This window comes from Homo sapiens, chromosome 17 (assembly GCF_000001405.40).
Source record: "Homo sapiens chromosome 17, GRCh38.p14 Primary Assembly".
NCBI lineage: Eukaryota > Metazoa > Chordata > Mammalia > Primates > Hominidae > Homo > Homo sapiens.
The window spans coordinates 42,667,490-42,682,049 of record NC_000017.11 but is presented as its reverse complement, the minus strand read 5'-3'; the positions used below and the strand labels follow the sequence as shown (position 1 = coordinate 42,682,049).

The window sequence follows — 14,560 nt, the reverse complement described above, 5'->3', positions numbered from 1 at the left end:
TTCTTTCCTCTTTCCTTCCTTTCTTCTTCTTTTTTTTTTTTTCGTAAAATCCAGATCCTGCACAAGAGAGTGAAGTCTTTTGGAGGAGGTGGAATGGGAAAGTGACCCCGTAGACCCTAATCCCCACCTCCCTCTCGGCCCCTCTCCCCGCCTCTTCCTTCCTGTCCCGCTAGTAGTTTAACTTCTACCCCCTGTGGCTATACCTCAGAAACCTGTGTAGCCAGAGATGGGGACGGAGGCCACAGAGCAGGTGGGAGTGGGGGCAGGGAGGGGGAGAAGGGTTACAGAGAGGGAGGAGACAGGGAAGGAATGGGATTCCCCACCTGGCAATGGGCCTCTGCCATCCTATGGCTTATTCAGGATTCTTGGCGCTGTCTCAGACTAGGGGTCCTCCAGATAAATGGGCTGGTGGTGTGAGGCTGGGGTTGTGGGACAGGGACTAGGGCTGAGGGGAAAGGCGGGTTGAACCTAGAGGTCCAGGGTCCCACCTGGGCCCTGAAAACCTGAGTCCCAACCCTGGAGACCCCCTTGGCATGAGTGGTTCAGTGTGCTGGTATTGGAGGTACAGGGAAGGTGGGTATGGAAGGGAAAGAAGAGAAACAGAAACCCACTCCAGACGGAGGTTGGAGTCCAGGGCTCAGGTCTGAGGCAAAGCCTGCATATGGGCATCCTTCCAGGAGAGGGCGCTGCAAAGGGAACTGAAGCTGTAGGATTTATTAATAATACAAACTTTGGGCTGGGCGTGGTAGCTCAGGCCTGTAATCCCAGTACTTTGGGAGGCCAAGGTGGGCGGATCACCTGAGGTCAGGAGTTCGAGACCATCCTGGCCAACATGGTGAAACCCCATCTCTACTAAAAATACAAAAATTAGCTGGGCGTGGTGGTGGGCGCCTGTAGTCCCAGCTACTTGGGAGGCTGAGGCAGGAGAATCTCTTGAACCCGGAGGCGGAGGTTGCAGTGAGCCGAGATCGTGCCACTGCACTCCAGCCTGGGCGACAGAGCAAGACTCTGTCTCCAATAATAATAATAATAAATAATAATAATAATACAAACTTTGTATTATGGCCTTTGGAGAACACAGGTTCTCCCCATCCATTATTTTCCATATTGCCATCTTCACAGCAAACCTTGAGAGGTGGGCTGGTCAGGATTTATAATCTCAACATTACAGGTTAGGTAACTGAGGTCTAGAAAGAGCAAGTGGCTTGCTCAAGGTCACCCAGGAAGCTGGAAGCAGAGGTAGGAGGGGTGCAAGGGAAGCCAAGGCCTGCTGAAGGTGTGCTAGGAAGAGTCTGGAGAAGAGCTTATGTCTCCCCGTGTACTGTTACATCTGGCCACACAGGAGCTCTCAGCTTGGAAGGCAAGTGTGGGCGGGGGAGTTGTGTGGTCAGATGTGTCTCATAAGATCCCGCCTCTCATTTGACCCTCCCAGGTTTCCTGGGGCCATTACTCTGGGGATGAAGAGGACGCATACTCGGCTGAGCCACTGCCGGAGCTTTGCTACAAGGCCGATGTCCAGGCCTTCAGCCGGGCCTTCCAACCCAGTGTCTCCCTGACCGTGGCTGCGCTGGGTCTGGCCGGCAATGGCCTGGTCCTGGCCACCCACCTGGCAGCCCGACGCGCAGCGCGCTCGCCCACCTCTGCCCACCTGCTCCAGCTGGCCCTGGCCGACCTCTTGCTGGCCCTGACTCTGCCCTTCGCGGCAGCAGGGGCTCTTCAGGGCTGGAGTCTGGGAAGTGCCACCTGCCGCACCATCTCTGGCCTCTACTCGGCCTCCTTCCACGCCGGCTTCCTCTTCCTGGCCTGTATCAGCGCCGACCGCTACGTGGCCATCGCGCGAGCGCTCCCAGCCGGGCCGCGGCCCTCCACTCCCGGCCGCGCACACTTGGTCTCCGTCATCGTGTGGCTGCTGTCACTGCTCCTGGCGCTGCCTGCGCTGCTCTTCAGCCAGGATGGGCAGCGGGAAGGCCAACGACGCTGTCGCCTCATCTTCCCCGAGGGCCTCACGCAGACGGTGAAGGGGGCGAGCGCCGTGGCGCAGGTGGCCCTGGGCTTCGCGCTGCCGCTGGGCGTCATGGTAGCCTGCTACGCGCTTCTGGGCCGCACGCTGCTGGCCGCCAGGGGGCCCGAGCGCCGGCGTGCGCTGCGCGTCGTGGTGGCTCTGGTGGCGGCCTTCGTGGTGCTGCAGCTGCCCTACAGCCTCGCCCTGCTGCTGGATACTGCCGATCTACTGGCTGCGCGCGAGCGGAGCTGCCCTGCCAGCAAACGCAAGGATGTCGCACTGCTGGTGACCAGCGGCTTGGCCCTCGCCCGCTGTGGCCTCAATCCCGTTCTCTACGCCTTCCTGGGCCTGCGCTTCCGCCAGGACCTGCGGAGGCTGCTACGGGGTGGGAGCTGCCCCTCAGGGCCTCAACCCCGCCGCGGCTGCCCCCGCCGGCCCCGCCTTTCTTCCTGCTCAGCTCCCACGGAGACCCACAGTCTCTCCTGGGACAACTAGGGCTGCGAATCTAGAGGAGGGGGCAGGCTGAGGGTCGTGGGAAAGGGGAGTAGGTGGGGGAACACTGAGAAAGAGGCAGGGACCTAAAGGGACTACCTCTGTGCCTTGCCACATTAAATTGATAACATGGAAATGAGATGCAACCCAACAACTGTTACTATTTTTGAGTCACCGACTTGGAAGTGATTTGTGGCGGGGCAGAACCGGTGGGTTAACACCCCGCCCCCGCCCCACCCCCCGCCCTGCCCCGCGCTTGGCTCTCTGAGTGGAAGACGCTGAGGGCCTGGGTGGGGGTGGGGGGCTGCTGAGTCTGCTAAAGCTCTAGCCACTGACACCCCCTCCACCGTCACCTGGCCTCAGCCAACAGAGGTGAGGTGGGAAAGCTGCCAGGCAAGGAGGGGCGGTGGTTCCTCTTGCAATACTGTAAGGAAGAGCTTTCTAACAACCAGAGCGCTCTCCAGTAATGGCTGCCTTAGCAAATACTGAGTTCCCGCTATTGGAATGTTCAGACTGTCGGGGACGCTGTGGGCCTTTGCGTGGTGTGGGGGGAGGGGGAGGGGCAGGGGATTCCCGTTTTTGGTGGGCGTTTGGATTTCATAACCACTTTACAATCCCTTCCTAGTGTCTGTGATGGAAAGAAAAAATGAAAAAATGAATTGTAAAATTTGAGTTGAAGTTTTTCCACCTTGAAGAAAAACCTAGGAGGGATTGCAATCTGCAAATTTCCAGAGTAGTTATCACGGGTGTGGTGGGGGTGAGGGATATTTGCTGTTCTCCATCTTCTCTGGGGACTGGGTCAGAGGAAATGCACTGAGCTGGCCGGAAAGAGAGAGGTTGGATATGGGAAAAAACTTCTCTGCAGGCAAGGGCCTGGGATCCAGACCTGGAAGATGGTTGTGGTATCTCCATTCCTAGGTAATCTCTCAGTACAGGCCACTCTCATGTGGAGAGAGGCCACGGCCGAGATGGCCTCCTAGACACGCTCGCATTGATTCCTGGTCTTTGTTTTACACAATCACAACGGGCAGGATGGTGTTCACGTGCGACAGTTCTCGCGGTTTAATATCGGTCAGCAAAGCTGTCCCCACCGCTCCAGCCTGGAGTCTAGGGTCGAGAAGGGCGGGGCGTGGCGAGGAGGTCTCAAGGGAGGTGCTGGCCTGACGGCCCCGCCCGTCCCGCCCTTCCCCGCCCCTCCCCGCCCAGCCCAGCCCTGCCCAGGCTAGCAGTCCTCAGAGCCTCCCGCAGCAGCGGCGAAAAGGGGTCCCCCACGGCCTCTAGGGGCCAGGATCCAGGGAAGGCCCGGAGACGGCGCCGATCCTCAAAGGGTCCCACACGCCAGCCACTGGGGACCGACCTGGAACCCTCCATCCAAGATCTCTGGAATCGCCGCTGAGTCAGCAACGCGCGCGCGCGCCCGCGGAGGCCGCGGCCCCGCCCCGGCCGCCTAGCGCCTGAGTTAACCCCTTCCTATACAGAGCCGCAGGATATTAGCCCTAAGAGGCCTCCACTGTATTCGGAGACCACAGAATTCCTTAGAATCCAAGTCAGTCTCCCCAGCTGAGTTCGGTGAGCTGTGAGCTCTATATTCGATTTTATTTCCGGCCTAGGTCTGCACCTTCCCAGAGTGCCTGCCTCAACTCCTTCACCTCGAAAAGGAGGTGAGGCCGAGTGCAGTGGCTCATACCTGTAATCCCAGCACTTTGGGAAGCCAAGCTGGGAGGATCGCTTGAGCCCAGGAGTTAAAGACCAGCCTGGGCAACATAGTGAGACTCCATTTCTACAAAAAATAAATTTAAAAAATTAGCCAGGCATGGTGGTGTACGCCTGTAGTCCCAGCTCCTGGAGAGGCTGAGGTGGGAGGATCCCTTGAGCCGAGGAGTTCGAGGCTGTAGTAAGCTATAATGGCTCCACCGCACCCCAGCCTGGGCAAGACAGCGAGACCCTGTCTGGAAGAAAAAAAAAAAAGGGTGGGGGAGAGCTGAATCAGACCGAGAAACTGGAGAAACTGGACTCCTTCTCCCCAGACGTGGAGGGCCACCTCCAGAGCTGTGTCCTCGCAGGTCTGGACATCCTCTTAGTAGCCAAGGCGTTTCCCTTTCTCAGGGACCCTGAGACGAGACAGGGGTTCAGAGAGCGGCAGTTGGGTTTTCCTCTGTCCTGTGCCAAAACTCCTCAACAGGGTTTTTAATTGGTTGGTGAGCCAAGAGTTAAAACAAGAGCCTGAAGGCGGGCTTCCGTGACGTCACTAGCACCCCGCGTCCGACCTCAGAGACTGGGGCGTGGCTAACATAGCCTCGTCCCCTCCCTCCCTGTTTCCCCGCCCCTCCCCGCTGTCACCAAGCCAGGGGCACATGATGCAACCCAACGCGGTTTCAGCCGTCTGATTGGTAGCCGCGCCCGGCGCCAGGCACAGGGATTGGACAGAGGAGACTGTGACGAAACCTGGACCCTGCCTAGTAAAGAAGGGAGGAGAGAAAGAAGAGAGAGGGGGGGCCCCCCGGGAGGGAGGGGGCCGGGGGGGCGGGGTCCCAGCTCTGTGCTCGCGCCCCCAGCGCGCCAGTCCCGGGGCTGCAGGGAGCGCAGCGCGCGCGGCCCGGGCCCCGGCCACCGGACGCCCTACCGGACACGACCCTCCCTGGAGCTTGGACAACTGCCCACCTCGGACGCTGCACCGGACACTGCCCCCCACAGGGCTGGACACTCCAACGGACACTACTTCCCAGCTCCGGACATTGCTCCCTCCTCTCCCGGGGCCCTGGACGCTTTTCCCCCTCCCCCCTCCGGGGGCCCAGACACTGAGCCCCCCTCAGCGTCTGGCTAGCGTCCCCTTGCACCCCAGCCCAGGACACTGCCTCCTCCCTGTCCTCTTCTCCCTTCTGCTCCTCCCACCTCATCTTTCCCCTGCTCGGGTCGGAGCCCCGCCAGTTCCTCCGACCCCCTACTGCTCGGCCGCGGCTGCCCGCGCCCCCATCCGCAGCTCCTCGCCCGGATGCCTCTCCCCGGGGGACTATGGTGGCTTCTCTGCTGCCGTCGAGGCTTCACTCTTCTGCACCGGGACTACGGGGACGGCGAGCTTAGCGGGGACGGGGACGAGGACGAGGACGAGGAAACCTTTGAGCTGCGGACCCCGAGTCCAGCGGGCGGCGGGAGGGTAAGTCCCGGGGGTTCGGAGCCTCGTCTCAATCACTCTCGCTGTAACCGGCCGTCACGCTGATCCGCTCCAGCCTCCAGCCACACGCTGCGCGCTTGGCGAACTAGGGATGAGGGAGAGTTTTTTGCCTGGGGGCCAAAGCCCCCGGGAGCTCTCGGAGCAGCAGCCCTACTCGGGATGTGCCTGTGGGCCTCCCGCTGCAGGCTGGGCGCTATCCACCTGCTGGGGGCCCTGAGGCAGGGGAGGCGTCACGCGTGGCCCGACCTGGCCCTGCCTCTCCCTTCCCCGCTGGGCCCGCGTCCCATCCCGTCTCCTTCCGCCTCCGCCAGCGCCGAGGAATGTGGCGAGGCCGGCTGGGCGGCTCGAACGCCTGGGTCCCCCTCCGCTCCCAGTTCGCAAGTGCGGAGGCCAGATGCGAGAGCTCCCGCTGCGGAGACCTGGACGAGGGGGAGAAGTCATCCCAGGATTGGGGTCTGTGGCGGGGACCCCAAGGAGAGGGAGGTGGGAGCTCTTTGAGGACCCCTCCTCATTACCCTGCCACTCAGGACAGAACTCTCGGCTTTCCCGGGTGAGGCTCCTGGGAAACCCCTGAGGGGATGGATGGTGAGGGACACTGGGCTGCTGCCTGGTTTTGTCGAATCTCCCCGTGGGGAAACGGAGGCACGATTGGTGTGGGAGACCTCCATCCCTTGACGTCTCCTCCCCCATCCCTCCTGCACACTGGCGGCCAGACTCCCGTGTGCTGTGGCCCGGGTCAGGCTCCCATCCCCCGCGCAGGGGTCCCCAGCAGGCCCAGTGGCTCGGTGCCCGGGTGGGGCGGGCTGCGCCGCCGGGGCCGGCGCCAGCACCTGGCGGAGGCGGAGGGTGGATAAATATAGAGGAGGGGGGAGGGAGGGAAGCAGGGCACTGCGATTAGGGGAGTTAGCCTAAGAGGGTGGTCAGTACCTGCCACATGTGGTGTGGCTGACAGCCCCACTCAGACCTTCCAGAAAATAGGTGGAGGTTCACGTAGGAAGGGTGCAGGACCCAGGCGTCCCCAAGCTTCCAGCTTGGGCAGGGTCGGCTTTACCAGGCCATTGCCTCCCTCATGCTCCACCTCAACTCCCCCCTTCCCTGAGCCTGGGGACAGGTGTCCCTGGCCCCCTCCCCCACCTCCCCCTCTTGGCTCTAGCAGTCTGGGAGCAATATGAGGATGGCACGGTTCCCGCCTGACTGGCCTCCGGGTTGGGTTTGTGGCCTCTCTCAGACCCCAGTCTACAGTTGAAGTTCCAGGACAGGGGGAAGGGAGGAGGAGGGGGAGGGGGAGGGCAAAACCCTGAACTACACCTGCCTCCAGAGGGTGTGCCATTCCTCAGTCTGGCCCGCCCTTCCTAAGCCCCAGCAAAGGGGCAGGGTCTCTGCTCACCATTGAGTCTCAGGAGTGTCTATGGGAGAATGTAAGACGCTTTTGGAGAAAGCCCTATACTGAAAGGGTCCCTCTGCCCTTCATTCACCTCTGTGCCTACCACCTGTCCTGCCTTGGCCAGGGAGGCAGTGTGGAAGAAGGGAAAATGAGGAGGAGAGGGTGCCTTGGAGCCTGGCAGAACGAGCTCACCTCTCCTGTTTCAAAGATGGGGAAACTAAGGCCCGGAGACGGGAAGAGACTTGCCCAAGGTTCCACAGTGAGTTAGTGGTGGGGCGGGAATTGGAACCCAGGTCTCCTGACTCTCTGCCCAGTGCTCTTTCCACCCTACCCTACCCCTGATTGTATTTTCAAAGGGTAACTGAGAGGAGCCTTGGCTCCTTAGCTCCTGCTGTTCTGAAGAGCTTGTCCTGTTAAGACTGGCGGGAGGGGCGAGCCCAGGGGCTCCAGCGTGCTCCACCCTAGTCACGACCCCACTCTGTGACTCCTCCTTCCTCAATCCCCTGAGCAGCCCTGTCCTGAGGGCAGAAGGCACGAACCTTGCGCAGGAAGGGCTCTGACCCTGAGGGCTTCCCCGCCTGTCTCCCCAGGGTCCCCTGGAAGTGACGCTGACTCAGCCAGTGAGGAGCGGGCCTGTCTCCAACAGGTGAGCTACGCCCCTACGTCCCATAGTCTGGCGACCCCAGCATGTTCCCGGGACCCCCATCCTCTCTGTCTCCCCTAGCGGTTGTGCAATAAGGGAGAGGCCCTATGCCGGACGCTGTGGTTTGGCTGGGGTCCCGGGGGGCGGTCCGGCTGGGGGCGCGGGGAGAAAGAGGGGGGTCGGGGCTATTTCTGGTTCGAGGTCAGAATGGCCCAGCGGTTCCCACAGCCTGGGGGAGGGGTGCCCAGCTTGGGAGCAGACACCCGTGCGGTCTGGGGAGCCCCTACAGAGGAGCCCCCTAGAGGCAGAGTGGAGACCCAACCTTCCCTCCCCTCTGGCCCAGGCTGCAGAGCTGGGAGGAGACTTGGAGCCTCATCCCGGAGAAAGGGCTGCCGGAGGACGACCCGGACATCGTTGTGAAAGGTAGAGACCCCCCTCAGTGCACTCTGGAGGCCCCCAATCCCAACCCCCTAGGGATTAATGTCTCTACTGATGTCCCTTCCCTCCCTCTCCGGCCCCCAGGTTGGCTGTACCGGGAGCCCCGCGGAGGAGGGGCGCGGCCCTGGCTGCCCCCGCGCCGAGCCTGGTTTGTGCTCACGCGGGACTCCCTGGATCAGTTCAGCAGCAGCGGGAAAGGGGCGCGGCGTCTCGGGAGCCTCGTGCTCACCAGCCTGTGCTCGGTGACCGGCCCAGAGCGCAGGCGTAAGGAGACAGGTGAGACCTCCTGGGGACTCTCCTACCTTCCTAGGCAGGGGCCCCGGCAGACCCTAATGGCCCTCCCTGGCCTCTCTTTTCCCCAGGTCTGTGGTCAGTGACTGTGTCTGGTCGGAAACACAGTGTCCGCCTCTGCTCCCCACGCCAGGCAGAGGCTGAGCGCTGGGGGGTGGCATTGCGGGAAGTGATCGCCTCCAAGGCACCCCTGGAGACCCCCACCCAGCTACTGCTCAGGGACATACAGGTACACACCAGGGAGAGCCAGGAGAGTGGTGGACCCCAAAGCTTTCTGGGGTTGTGAGGAACTCCCTTCCCCATCAAGGTGACCCTCTCCCTGGCCCCCTAGGAAAGTTGCGGGGACCCAGAGGCCGTTGCCCTCATTTACCTGAGGAACCCGATTCTGAGACACACTAGTGGAGCCTTGTATGCCCCACTCCTGCCCCTGCCCTATGGAGTCAGCGCCCCAGGTGAGTGGTCCCATGGCCCAAGTCCCCTGGATGGGATGGGGTGGTTCAGAGGTAAGAATCTGAATCCCTTAACTGGCAGGGATCTAAGCATCCTTCATGGACCTGCCAGCTCCTCACTTTTCGAAGGATGAAGGTGAAACTGGAAGCTGGCCAGGGTGGAGGAGAGGAAGCCAGCACACACAAAAGGGCCCCCTTTGGCCACCTTCTCTATGGGTCTCATTCTGACTACTGATGTTCCTTCAGGAGTTTGTACACTCCCCTATTTTTTCATTATCCTCTTGAGACTATGCCATATTACCTTTACAAGTGGTAGAAAAGCTACCACTTTTGTAGAATGTGCTGGCCTCATCCAACTGTACTTCTCCCTAAACGGTGTAGTGACTGGCCCAGGTCCTAAAGTTAGAGGATTAAAGGGTGCTGGGAGAGGAACCCCGGTTTTCTGACTCCTAGTCCAGCCTGTTTTCTGACCTATGGTGGTGAGCCTCAGTATGGAGTTACAGAATCTGGGGTGTGAATCTACAGCCCTTCCCGGCCGTCCGTCTCCCTAAGTCCAAATGCAGGCTTAGTGGGATTGGGAAGGGGATTCCTGGGAGGCAGAGGTTGAGAGTCTGGCTCCGTGGGACCACTGCTTTCCCTTCACTCTTCCTGTCGTTCGTACCCTCCCCTCCCTGCCACCCCATCCCCTTATATTCCCTCTGACCTTCCCCTGGTTCATGCCTTCCTCCCAGGGCGCAGCTCTGTGTCCCCTCTCCAAACCGTCCCTCCGCCCCCACCCTCCCACAGGTCCGGGCTATGCACCCCTGCGCGAGGAGGCGGTGCGGCTGTTCTTGGCGCTGCAGGCGCTGGAGGGGGCGCGGCGCCCCGGGCCCTTGATGCAGGGTGTGCTCCAAACCTGCCGGGACTTGCCCGCGCTCCGGGATGAACTCTTCCTGCAGCTGGCTAAGCAGACCTCGGGCCCTGCAGGTCCCCCCGGGCTCCCGGCTACCCAAGACCCTGCGGCCCTGCGGTACTGGCAACTCCTCACCTGCATGAGCTGCACCTTCCGACCTGGGGGAGCTGTGCGGGGGCACCTCCTGGGGCACTTGGAGAGGTGAGAGGGGCGAGGTGGGGGTTACGGCCTAGGCGAGGAGCTACCGGGCTGGGAGAGAATGAAAGGTCTTTTGCAAAAGACTTGGTAGGTAAAGAACCGAGTAATACATACAGTGCCTTTGTGGGAGATACAAGATCCTATCGCAGTTGTGAGCGGATGAATTACAATAAAACGCCCCCCTTGGGCTGAGGAGTTATGAAAAGGCTGCTTTTCCTCCAGCTGATGCAGGCCAGCGCCAGGGCTTAGGAAAATGTAGTAAAGTGGCTGGATTTCGATTTCAGGCCGAAGGAAGATCACGAAGACTTTTGGAAGTGGTGGAGGCAGTTGGGAGAAAGCTGCCAGGGGACTTGAAAAGTAATTCAGCTCTATGCAAAGCACTGGGGAGAGATTTAGAAGAGCCTTCAAAGAACTTGAGTTGGGGCGGGGAGGAAATCGGCTAGATAAAATAAACTATAAGAGAAGCAGGCAAGAGGGAGGGGGAGAAGAAAGCCCTTGGAGTATTGATCCCTGGGTTCCTCCTAACCCAGGACCGAGCAGGCACTCCCGGACTCGGAACTGGCGGAATATGCGCGCTTCATCCGGAAAGCGCTGGGCCGGACGCGCGGCAGAGAGCTGGTGCCCTCGCTGGCGGAGATTTCCGCGTTGAGCCAACGGCAGGAGCTGCTGTGTACCGTGCACTGTCCGGGGGCTGGTGCCTGTGCTGTGGCCATCGACTCCCACACCACGGCGGGGGAGGTGAGGCCAGAGAAAGGCCCCATGACCTCCAACCCACCCTGCCAGCTTCTCACGCCTGTCTCTCCCTCTTCCTGGACCCTAGGTTTGCCCCGAGTCTAGATTATTTTGGTAAGGGAGGGAGTGGTGGTGACAGGACTAAGAGACCCCTTCCAATTGAATCAACCCCTCCCAGAATCCTGGCAAGACCTCTGAGTGGTCTCCCCTCACCCTCCTCTTCTAGGTGGCTCGAGAGCTGGTGGGGCGGCTGGGCTTGGCCCGGAGCCGCAACGCATTCGCGCTGTACGAGCAGCGAGGGGCCCAGGAGCGAGCCCTGGCTGGGGGGACCCTCGTGGCCGACGTGCTCACCAGGTTTGAGAAGTAAATGTCCAGCCCCAGCCCTGCTCTCTATTAGCCCATCCACTTCTCAGCTGAGGTCAGTCTCTAAGCGGACATTATCCAGCGCTTGCCCCTGGCCCTGCGCTGTGGTGTTCGCTGGTTTACAGACGGACCTGCCCGCCGCAGGTTTGCAGTCCGACTGCAGCATCACCTCCGCTGTCGGCTCCGCCCAGGCCCCGCCCCAAACACATGGCCCCGCCCCCACCCCAAGCTGCCCTCGCCGTAGGGGTCCGGCTTCTCCCTAGCGCTTCGTCCGCTCCTCTTCTGCAGCTTGGCCGCGGAGGAAGCTGGGTTGGAGGACTCGCCCGACTCCGGGTGGAGACTATGTCTGCGTCTTCACGGACCTCTGCACCCTGAGGGGCTGTCCCCAGACGGTCACGAACTGCCTTTCCTCTTTGAGCAGGTGAGGCTCTCCGGCGTTCACGCCTCCAAACAGACCCCCAAGCCTGAACCCCTGGTTTTCTAGGCCGTCTCATTTCATCACTATGGCAGCCCCGCGGGAGGCTTGACTGGAACCTAGACCTGCTCAGATTCCGCGAGGCGTTTTCGCGACGGTTCCGCCGCCGCTCGTACACTGACGCCGGGTGCCTCCCCTGCAGGCTCACGCTCTGCTGCTGCGGGGCCGGCCGCCCCCACCCGACGACACGCTGCGCGCCCTGGCGGCGCTGCGCCTGCAGAGCCTGCAGCGGGACTTCTCTCCGCGGGTGCCCCTGCCCCGCCTGGACCGCCTGCTCCCGCCCCCGGCCCCGCCGCGCGAAGACCCGCCCCGCCCGACCCCCAGGCCGCCCCCTTCCGCTGCCCTGCTGGCCGGGGCGCTCTGGAGCCCGGGCCTGGCCAAGAGGCGGGCGGAGCGGGCCCGGCGCGGCGGGGCCGGCCGCACTGCGGGAAGCATTGCCCGCGAGGGAGGAGGCGGCGCCGGCACGGCAGCTGCCGTGCTGGGCGGCTGGAAGCGGCTACGGGGCATGGGCCGAGCTGAGGCCATGGCCGCCTACCTGGCCCTGGCGGCGCAGTGTCCGGGGTTCGGCGCTGCTCGGTATGACGTTCTGGAGCTGAGCACGGTGAGGGGGAGAAGGGAGAAGGGGACTCTGGCGGCCCAAGCCCCACACCTTTGCCCCAGAGCCACAGGTCCCACGGAGTGTCACGTAATTCCCCACATCCAGAACAGCTACCCATCTCAAACCCCAGGAGTCACCAGCCCTTGGGCCCTCACATCCCTGGAGCCTCAGCCCCCTCCACACACGTGCTGTGAATCATAGGGGGATCAGGATACTCCTGCTCACAGACACCCATCTCCCCCTACCAAAAATAACGCTGGGCTCCTCCTTCCACCCTGACTCTGCCTCTCTGTCTGCAGGAGCCTGGTCGGGGTGCTCCACAGAAGCTGTGCCTGGGCTTGGGAGCCAAGGCCATGTCCCTCTCCCGGCCAGGGGAGACGGAGCCCATCCACAGTGTCAGCTATGGCCATGTGGCCGCCTGCCAGCTAATGGGCCCCCACACCCTGGCCTTGAGGGTGGGAGAGAGCCAGCTCCTCCTGCAGAGCCCCCAGGTGAGTGAGAAGAGGAGTTGTGGGAGGAGGAGAGAAGGGAAGCGATGTCAGGAAGCATTTACAGAACACCAAACCTGGGCCAGGTAGAGCTCTAAGCACTGGGGATCCAGCAGTGATCACAGACAAGCTGAAGGAGCTTACACTAGAGTGGAGTCAGACAATAAACAAGGAATCCCAGGCTATGAAGACAGTGAGAAATGCTACAAAGGAAAGAGTGATGTGACAGGAAGCCAGGGAAGGGTTCTCAAAAAGGGTGCCATTTAAGCTAGCCAGGGAAGACCTGGGAGAACAGCATTCCAGGTAGAAAGAATTGCAAGGTGGCCGGGTGCAGTGGCTCATGCCTGTAATCCCAGCACTTTGGGAGGCCGAGGCGGGCAGATCACGAGGTCAGGAGATCGAGACCATCCTGACCAACATGGCGAAACCCCATCTCTACTAAAAATACAAATTAGCTGGGGCTGGTGGCGCACACCTATAGTCCCAGCTACTCGGGAAGCTGAGGTAGGAGAATTGCTTGAACCCGGCAGGCGGAGGTTGCAGTGAGCCGAGGCACTTCAGCCTGGCAACAGAGCAAGACTCCGTCTCAACAACAACAACAACAACAACAACAAAAAAAAATGTTAGAAGAGCAGAAAGAACCAAGTATAACTGGCACATAGAAATGAAGGAGAGAAGCCGGCCGCGGTGGCTCACGCCTGTAATCCCAGCACTTTGGGAGGCCGAGATGGGCGGATCATGAGGTCAGGAGATCGAGACCATCTTGGCTAACACGGTGAAACCCTGTTTCTACTAAAAATACAAAAAATTAGCCGGGCGTGTTGGCGGGCGCCTGTAGTCCCAGCTACTCAGGAGGCTGAGGCAGGAGAATGGTGTGAACCCAGGAGGCGGAGCTTGCAGTGAGCTGAGATCGCGCCACTGCACTCCAACCTGGGGGACACAGCGAGACTCCGTCTCAAAAAACAAAAAAGAAATGAAGGAGAGAGTGGTGATAAGGAAGGAAAGGTTGCAGGGCCAGAGCACGTAGGACCCTGGTGGGGAAGCTGGAGCCCTAGAGCCTGGAGAAAGGATGAGAAAAAGAAGAGAACCTGGCAGCCCCTGTTGCACACTGACCTCTGCCCTCTCTTAGGTGGAAGAGATCATGCAGCTGGTGAATGCCTACTTGGCCAACCCCTCCCCCGAGAGGCCCTGCAGCAGCTCTTCTCCTCCATGCCAAGACCTGCCAGACACCTCCCCTCCCAGCCAGCGCCCGGGCCTGGACGAGCCCCAGGGACAGTCTGGCTGCTTGGGGCAGCTGCAGGACTGAGCCTGCCAAGAGGTCACGACTTCCCTCCTGCCTGCAGCCTGGGCCAGGACTGCTCTGAGATTTGAGGGAAACATGGACCCTTTTGGCCCTGCAGGGACAGGGCACATCCCACACCCAAGGGCTACAATGGGTGTGGGTAATTTTCTAGTTTGTTTCTTAATTTATTTGTAGAAGAGAAGCAAAAAAAAAAAAAAAGTTTCTTATTTACACAAACCCTTCCTGTGGGAGTGTTATTCAGTGGGACAAGTTGGAACCCCATAACGCAGAGCCCCGCCTCTGGGGATGCCCACACCCTGGGCTTTTACCAGGCTCTGGGGGAAGTCTGGACACCACAGCGCTTCACCCTCCCCCTCCTTGACCTTCCAGACTTAACCTCCTCCTGGCCAGTGTGCTGCCACAGGTTTGTGGGTGGAGCAGGCAAACAGGCCTCATTGGAAGCTGGCAGTTACTCACCCTCCCTTCTCCACTGAGTGGCATACAGATGGCCTCCTGGAATCCCTGAGGCTGGAGGGCAGTGAGTCATCAGATCTGGCACTGCCCATTTCTTACTCGTTGTCCACCTCTGGGCCCATCATTGGTGTGCCTAATGCTTTGGGCCTAGAATGGAGAGAAGCTTGGGGCAGATAACAAACCCACG

At 60.8% G+C, this 14,560-nt stretch overlaps 2 protein-coding genes across 13 annotated transcripts, besides 20 other annotated features; both read left to right on the top strand.

Moving 5' to 3' along the window:
- On the top strand, positions 207 to 3,161 carry CCR10 (C-C motif chemokine receptor 10). The gene is made up of 2 exons (NM_016602.3): positions 207 to 250; positions 1,433 to 3,161. The coding sequence occupies exons 1-2, from the start codon at positions 227 to 229 to the stop codon at positions 2,495 to 2,497; spliced, it is 1,089 nt and encodes a 362-aa protein (NP_057686.2). The 5' UTR covers positions 207 to 226; the 3' UTR covers positions 2,498 to 3,161.
- Positions 525 to 819: a silencer, noted in NCBI's record as "tiled region #12568; HepG2 Repressive non-DNase unmatched - State 4:PromP, and K562 Repressive DNase matched - State 5:Enh". NCBI's record gives its function as "represses a minimal TATA promoter and a strong SV40 promoter by Sharpr-MPRA in HepG2 and K562 cells {active_cell/tissue: HepG2 | K562}" and the evidence as "EXISTENCE:reporter gene assay evidence [ECO:0000049][PMID:27701403]".
- Positions 1,205 to 2,053: an enhancer, noted in NCBI's record as "H3K27ac-H3K4me1 hESC enhancer chr17:40832015-40832863 (GRCh37/hg19 assembly coordinates)". NCBI's record gives its function as "activates a minimal SCP1, AML or CMV promoter by ChIP-STARR-seq in naive and primed H9 embryonic stem cells {active_cell/tissue: H9 hESC(naive and primed)}" and the evidence as "EXISTENCE:reporter gene assay evidence [ECO:0000049][PMID:30033119]".
- Positions 2,054 to 2,902: an enhancer, noted in NCBI's record as "H3K27ac-H3K4me1 hESC enhancer chr17:40831166-40832014 (GRCh37/hg19 assembly coordinates)". NCBI's record gives its function as "activates a minimal SCP1, AML or CMV promoter by ChIP-STARR-seq in primed H9 embryonic stem cells {active_cell/tissue: H9 hESC(primed)}" and the evidence as "EXISTENCE:reporter gene assay evidence [ECO:0000049][PMID:30033119]".
- Positions 3,404 to 3,903: an enhancer, noted in NCBI's record as "H3K27ac hESC enhancer chr17:40830165-40830664 (GRCh37/hg19 assembly coordinates)". NCBI's record gives its function as "activates a minimal SCP1, AML or CMV promoter by ChIP-STARR-seq in naive and primed H9 embryonic stem cells {active_cell/tissue: H9 hESC(naive and primed)}" and the evidence as "EXISTENCE:reporter gene assay evidence [ECO:0000049][PMID:30033119]".
- Positions 3,496 to 3,585: a silencer, noted in NCBI's record as "silent region_8545". NCBI's record gives its function as "represses an Ori minimal core promoter by ATAC-STARR-seq in GM12878 lymphoblastoid cells {active_cell/tissue: GM12878}" and the evidence as "EXISTENCE:reporter gene assay evidence [ECO:0000049][PMID:35858748]".
- Positions 3,904 to 4,405: an enhancer, noted in NCBI's record as "H3K27ac hESC enhancer chr17:40829663-40830164 (GRCh37/hg19 assembly coordinates)". NCBI's record gives its function as "activates a minimal SCP1, AML or CMV promoter by ChIP-STARR-seq in naive H9 embryonic stem cells {active_cell/tissue: H9 hESC(naive)}" and the evidence as "EXISTENCE:reporter gene assay evidence [ECO:0000049][PMID:30033119]".
- Positions 3,904 to 4,465: a biological region, named in NCBI's record as "H3K27ac hESC enhancer GRCh37_chr17:40829663-40830164".
- Positions 3,936 to 4,015: a silencer, noted in NCBI's record as "silent region_8544". NCBI's record gives its function as "represses an Ori minimal core promoter by ATAC-STARR-seq in GM12878 lymphoblastoid cells {active_cell/tissue: GM12878}" and the evidence as "EXISTENCE:reporter gene assay evidence [ECO:0000049][PMID:35858748]".
- Positions 4,386 to 4,465: an enhancer, noted in NCBI's record as "active region_12219". NCBI's record gives its function as "activates an Ori minimal core promoter by ATAC-STARR-seq in GM12878 lymphoblastoid cells {active_cell/tissue: GM12878}" and the evidence as "EXISTENCE:reporter gene assay evidence [ECO:0000049][PMID:35858748]".
- Positions 4,596 to 4,645: an enhancer, noted in NCBI's record as "active region_12218". NCBI's record gives its function as "activates an Ori minimal core promoter by ATAC-STARR-seq in GM12878 lymphoblastoid cells {active_cell/tissue: GM12878}" and the evidence as "EXISTENCE:reporter gene assay evidence [ECO:0000049][PMID:35858748]".
- Positions 4,666 to 4,765: an enhancer, noted in NCBI's record as "active region_12217". NCBI's record gives its function as "activates an Ori minimal core promoter by ATAC-STARR-seq in GM12878 lymphoblastoid cells {active_cell/tissue: GM12878}" and the evidence as "EXISTENCE:reporter gene assay evidence [ECO:0000049][PMID:35858748]".
- Positions 4,876 to 5,125: a silencer, noted in NCBI's record as "silent region_8543". NCBI's record gives its function as "represses an Ori minimal core promoter by ATAC-STARR-seq in GM12878 lymphoblastoid cells {active_cell/tissue: GM12878}" and the evidence as "EXISTENCE:reporter gene assay evidence [ECO:0000049][PMID:35858748]".
- PLEKHH3 (pleckstrin homology, MyTH4 and FERM domain containing H3) lies at positions 5,056 to 14,136 on the top strand. 12 transcript variants are annotated; one of them, XM_017025115.3, is made up of 14 exons: positions 5,056 to 5,648; positions 7,175 to 7,309; positions 7,641 to 7,696; positions 8,037 to 8,116; positions 8,216 to 8,407; positions 8,494 to 8,651; positions 8,754 to 8,874; positions 9,658 to 9,964; positions 10,492 to 10,699; positions 10,920 to 11,056; positions 11,345 to 11,477; positions 11,674 to 12,132; positions 12,429 to 12,620; positions 13,747 to 14,136. In XM_017025115.3, the coding sequence occupies exons 1-14, from the start codon at positions 5,487 to 5,489 to the stop codon at positions 13,921 to 13,923; spliced, it is 2,517 nt and encodes an 838-aa protein (XP_016880604.1). In that variant the 5' UTR covers positions 5,056 to 5,486; the 3' UTR covers positions 13,924 to 14,136. The 12 variants fall into 12 exon arrangements, 10 of the variants coding, with proteins under 10 accessions (XP_016880604.1, NP_001398041.1, NP_079203.4 ...); XM_017025117.2 differs by lacking the exon at positions 5,056 to 5,648 and adding an exon at positions 5,661 to 6,119 and having other exon boundaries at positions 9,838 to 9,964; XM_017025114.2 differs by lacking the exon at positions 5,056 to 5,648 and adding an exon at positions 5,661 to 6,119 and having other exon boundaries at positions 10,920 to 11,047.
- Positions 5,216 to 5,275: a silencer, noted in NCBI's record as "silent region_8542". NCBI's record gives its function as "represses an Ori minimal core promoter by ATAC-STARR-seq in GM12878 lymphoblastoid cells {active_cell/tissue: GM12878}" and the evidence as "EXISTENCE:reporter gene assay evidence [ECO:0000049][PMID:35858748]".
- Positions 6,396 to 6,555: a silencer, noted in NCBI's record as "silent region_8541". NCBI's record gives its function as "represses an Ori minimal core promoter by ATAC-STARR-seq in GM12878 lymphoblastoid cells {active_cell/tissue: GM12878}" and the evidence as "EXISTENCE:reporter gene assay evidence [ECO:0000049][PMID:35858748]".
- Positions 7,796 to 7,915: a silencer, noted in NCBI's record as "silent region_8540". NCBI's record gives its function as "represses an Ori minimal core promoter by ATAC-STARR-seq in GM12878 lymphoblastoid cells {active_cell/tissue: GM12878}" and the evidence as "EXISTENCE:reporter gene assay evidence [ECO:0000049][PMID:35858748]".
- Positions 7,966 to 8,015: a silencer, noted in NCBI's record as "silent region_8539". NCBI's record gives its function as "represses an Ori minimal core promoter by ATAC-STARR-seq in GM12878 lymphoblastoid cells {active_cell/tissue: GM12878}" and the evidence as "EXISTENCE:reporter gene assay evidence [ECO:0000049][PMID:35858748]".
- Positions 7,966 to 8,859: a biological region, named in NCBI's record as "H3K27ac-H3K4me1 hESC enhancer GRCh37_chr17:40825209-40826082".
- Positions 7,986 to 8,859: an enhancer, noted in NCBI's record as "H3K27ac-H3K4me1 hESC enhancer chr17:40825209-40826082 (GRCh37/hg19 assembly coordinates)". NCBI's record gives its function as "activates a minimal SCP1, AML or CMV promoter by ChIP-STARR-seq in naive H9 embryonic stem cells {active_cell/tissue: H9 hESC(naive)}" and the evidence as "EXISTENCE:reporter gene assay evidence [ECO:0000049][PMID:30033119]".
- Positions 11,410 to 11,489: an enhancer, noted in NCBI's record as "active region_12216". NCBI's record gives its function as "activates an Ori minimal core promoter by ATAC-STARR-seq in GM12878 lymphoblastoid cells {active_cell/tissue: GM12878}" and the evidence as "EXISTENCE:reporter gene assay evidence [ECO:0000049][PMID:35858748]".
- Positions 13,245 to 13,820: an enhancer, noted in NCBI's record as "H3K4me1 hESC enhancer chr17:40820248-40820823 (GRCh37/hg19 assembly coordinates)". NCBI's record gives its function as "activates a minimal SCP1, AML or CMV promoter by ChIP-STARR-seq in naive H9 embryonic stem cells {active_cell/tissue: H9 hESC(naive)}" and the evidence as "EXISTENCE:reporter gene assay evidence [ECO:0000049][PMID:30033119]".
- Positions 14,137 to 14,560: the final 424 nt, after the last annotated feature.

Coding starts and splice junctions, on each gene's coding strand:
- PLEKHH3 (XM_017025113.2), top strand. CDS start 5,826: ATGTGCCTGTGGGCCTCCCGCTGCAGGCTGGGCGCTATCCACCTGCTG. Junction 11,057..11,344: donor GTGCTCACCAGGTTTGAGAA/GTAAATGTCCAG, acceptor CCTCTTCTGCAG/CTTGGCCGCGGAGGAAGCTG. Junction 11,478..11,673: donor TGCCTTTCCTCTTTGAGCAG/GTGAGGCTCTCC, acceptor CCTCCCCTGCAG/GCTCACGCTCTGCTGCTGCG.
- CCR10 (NM_016602.3), top strand. CDS start 227: ATGGGGACGGAGGCCACAGAGCAG. Junction 251..1,432: donor GGACGGAGGCCACAGAGCAG/GTGGGAGTGGGG, acceptor TGACCCTCCCAG/GTTTCCTGGGGCCATTACTC.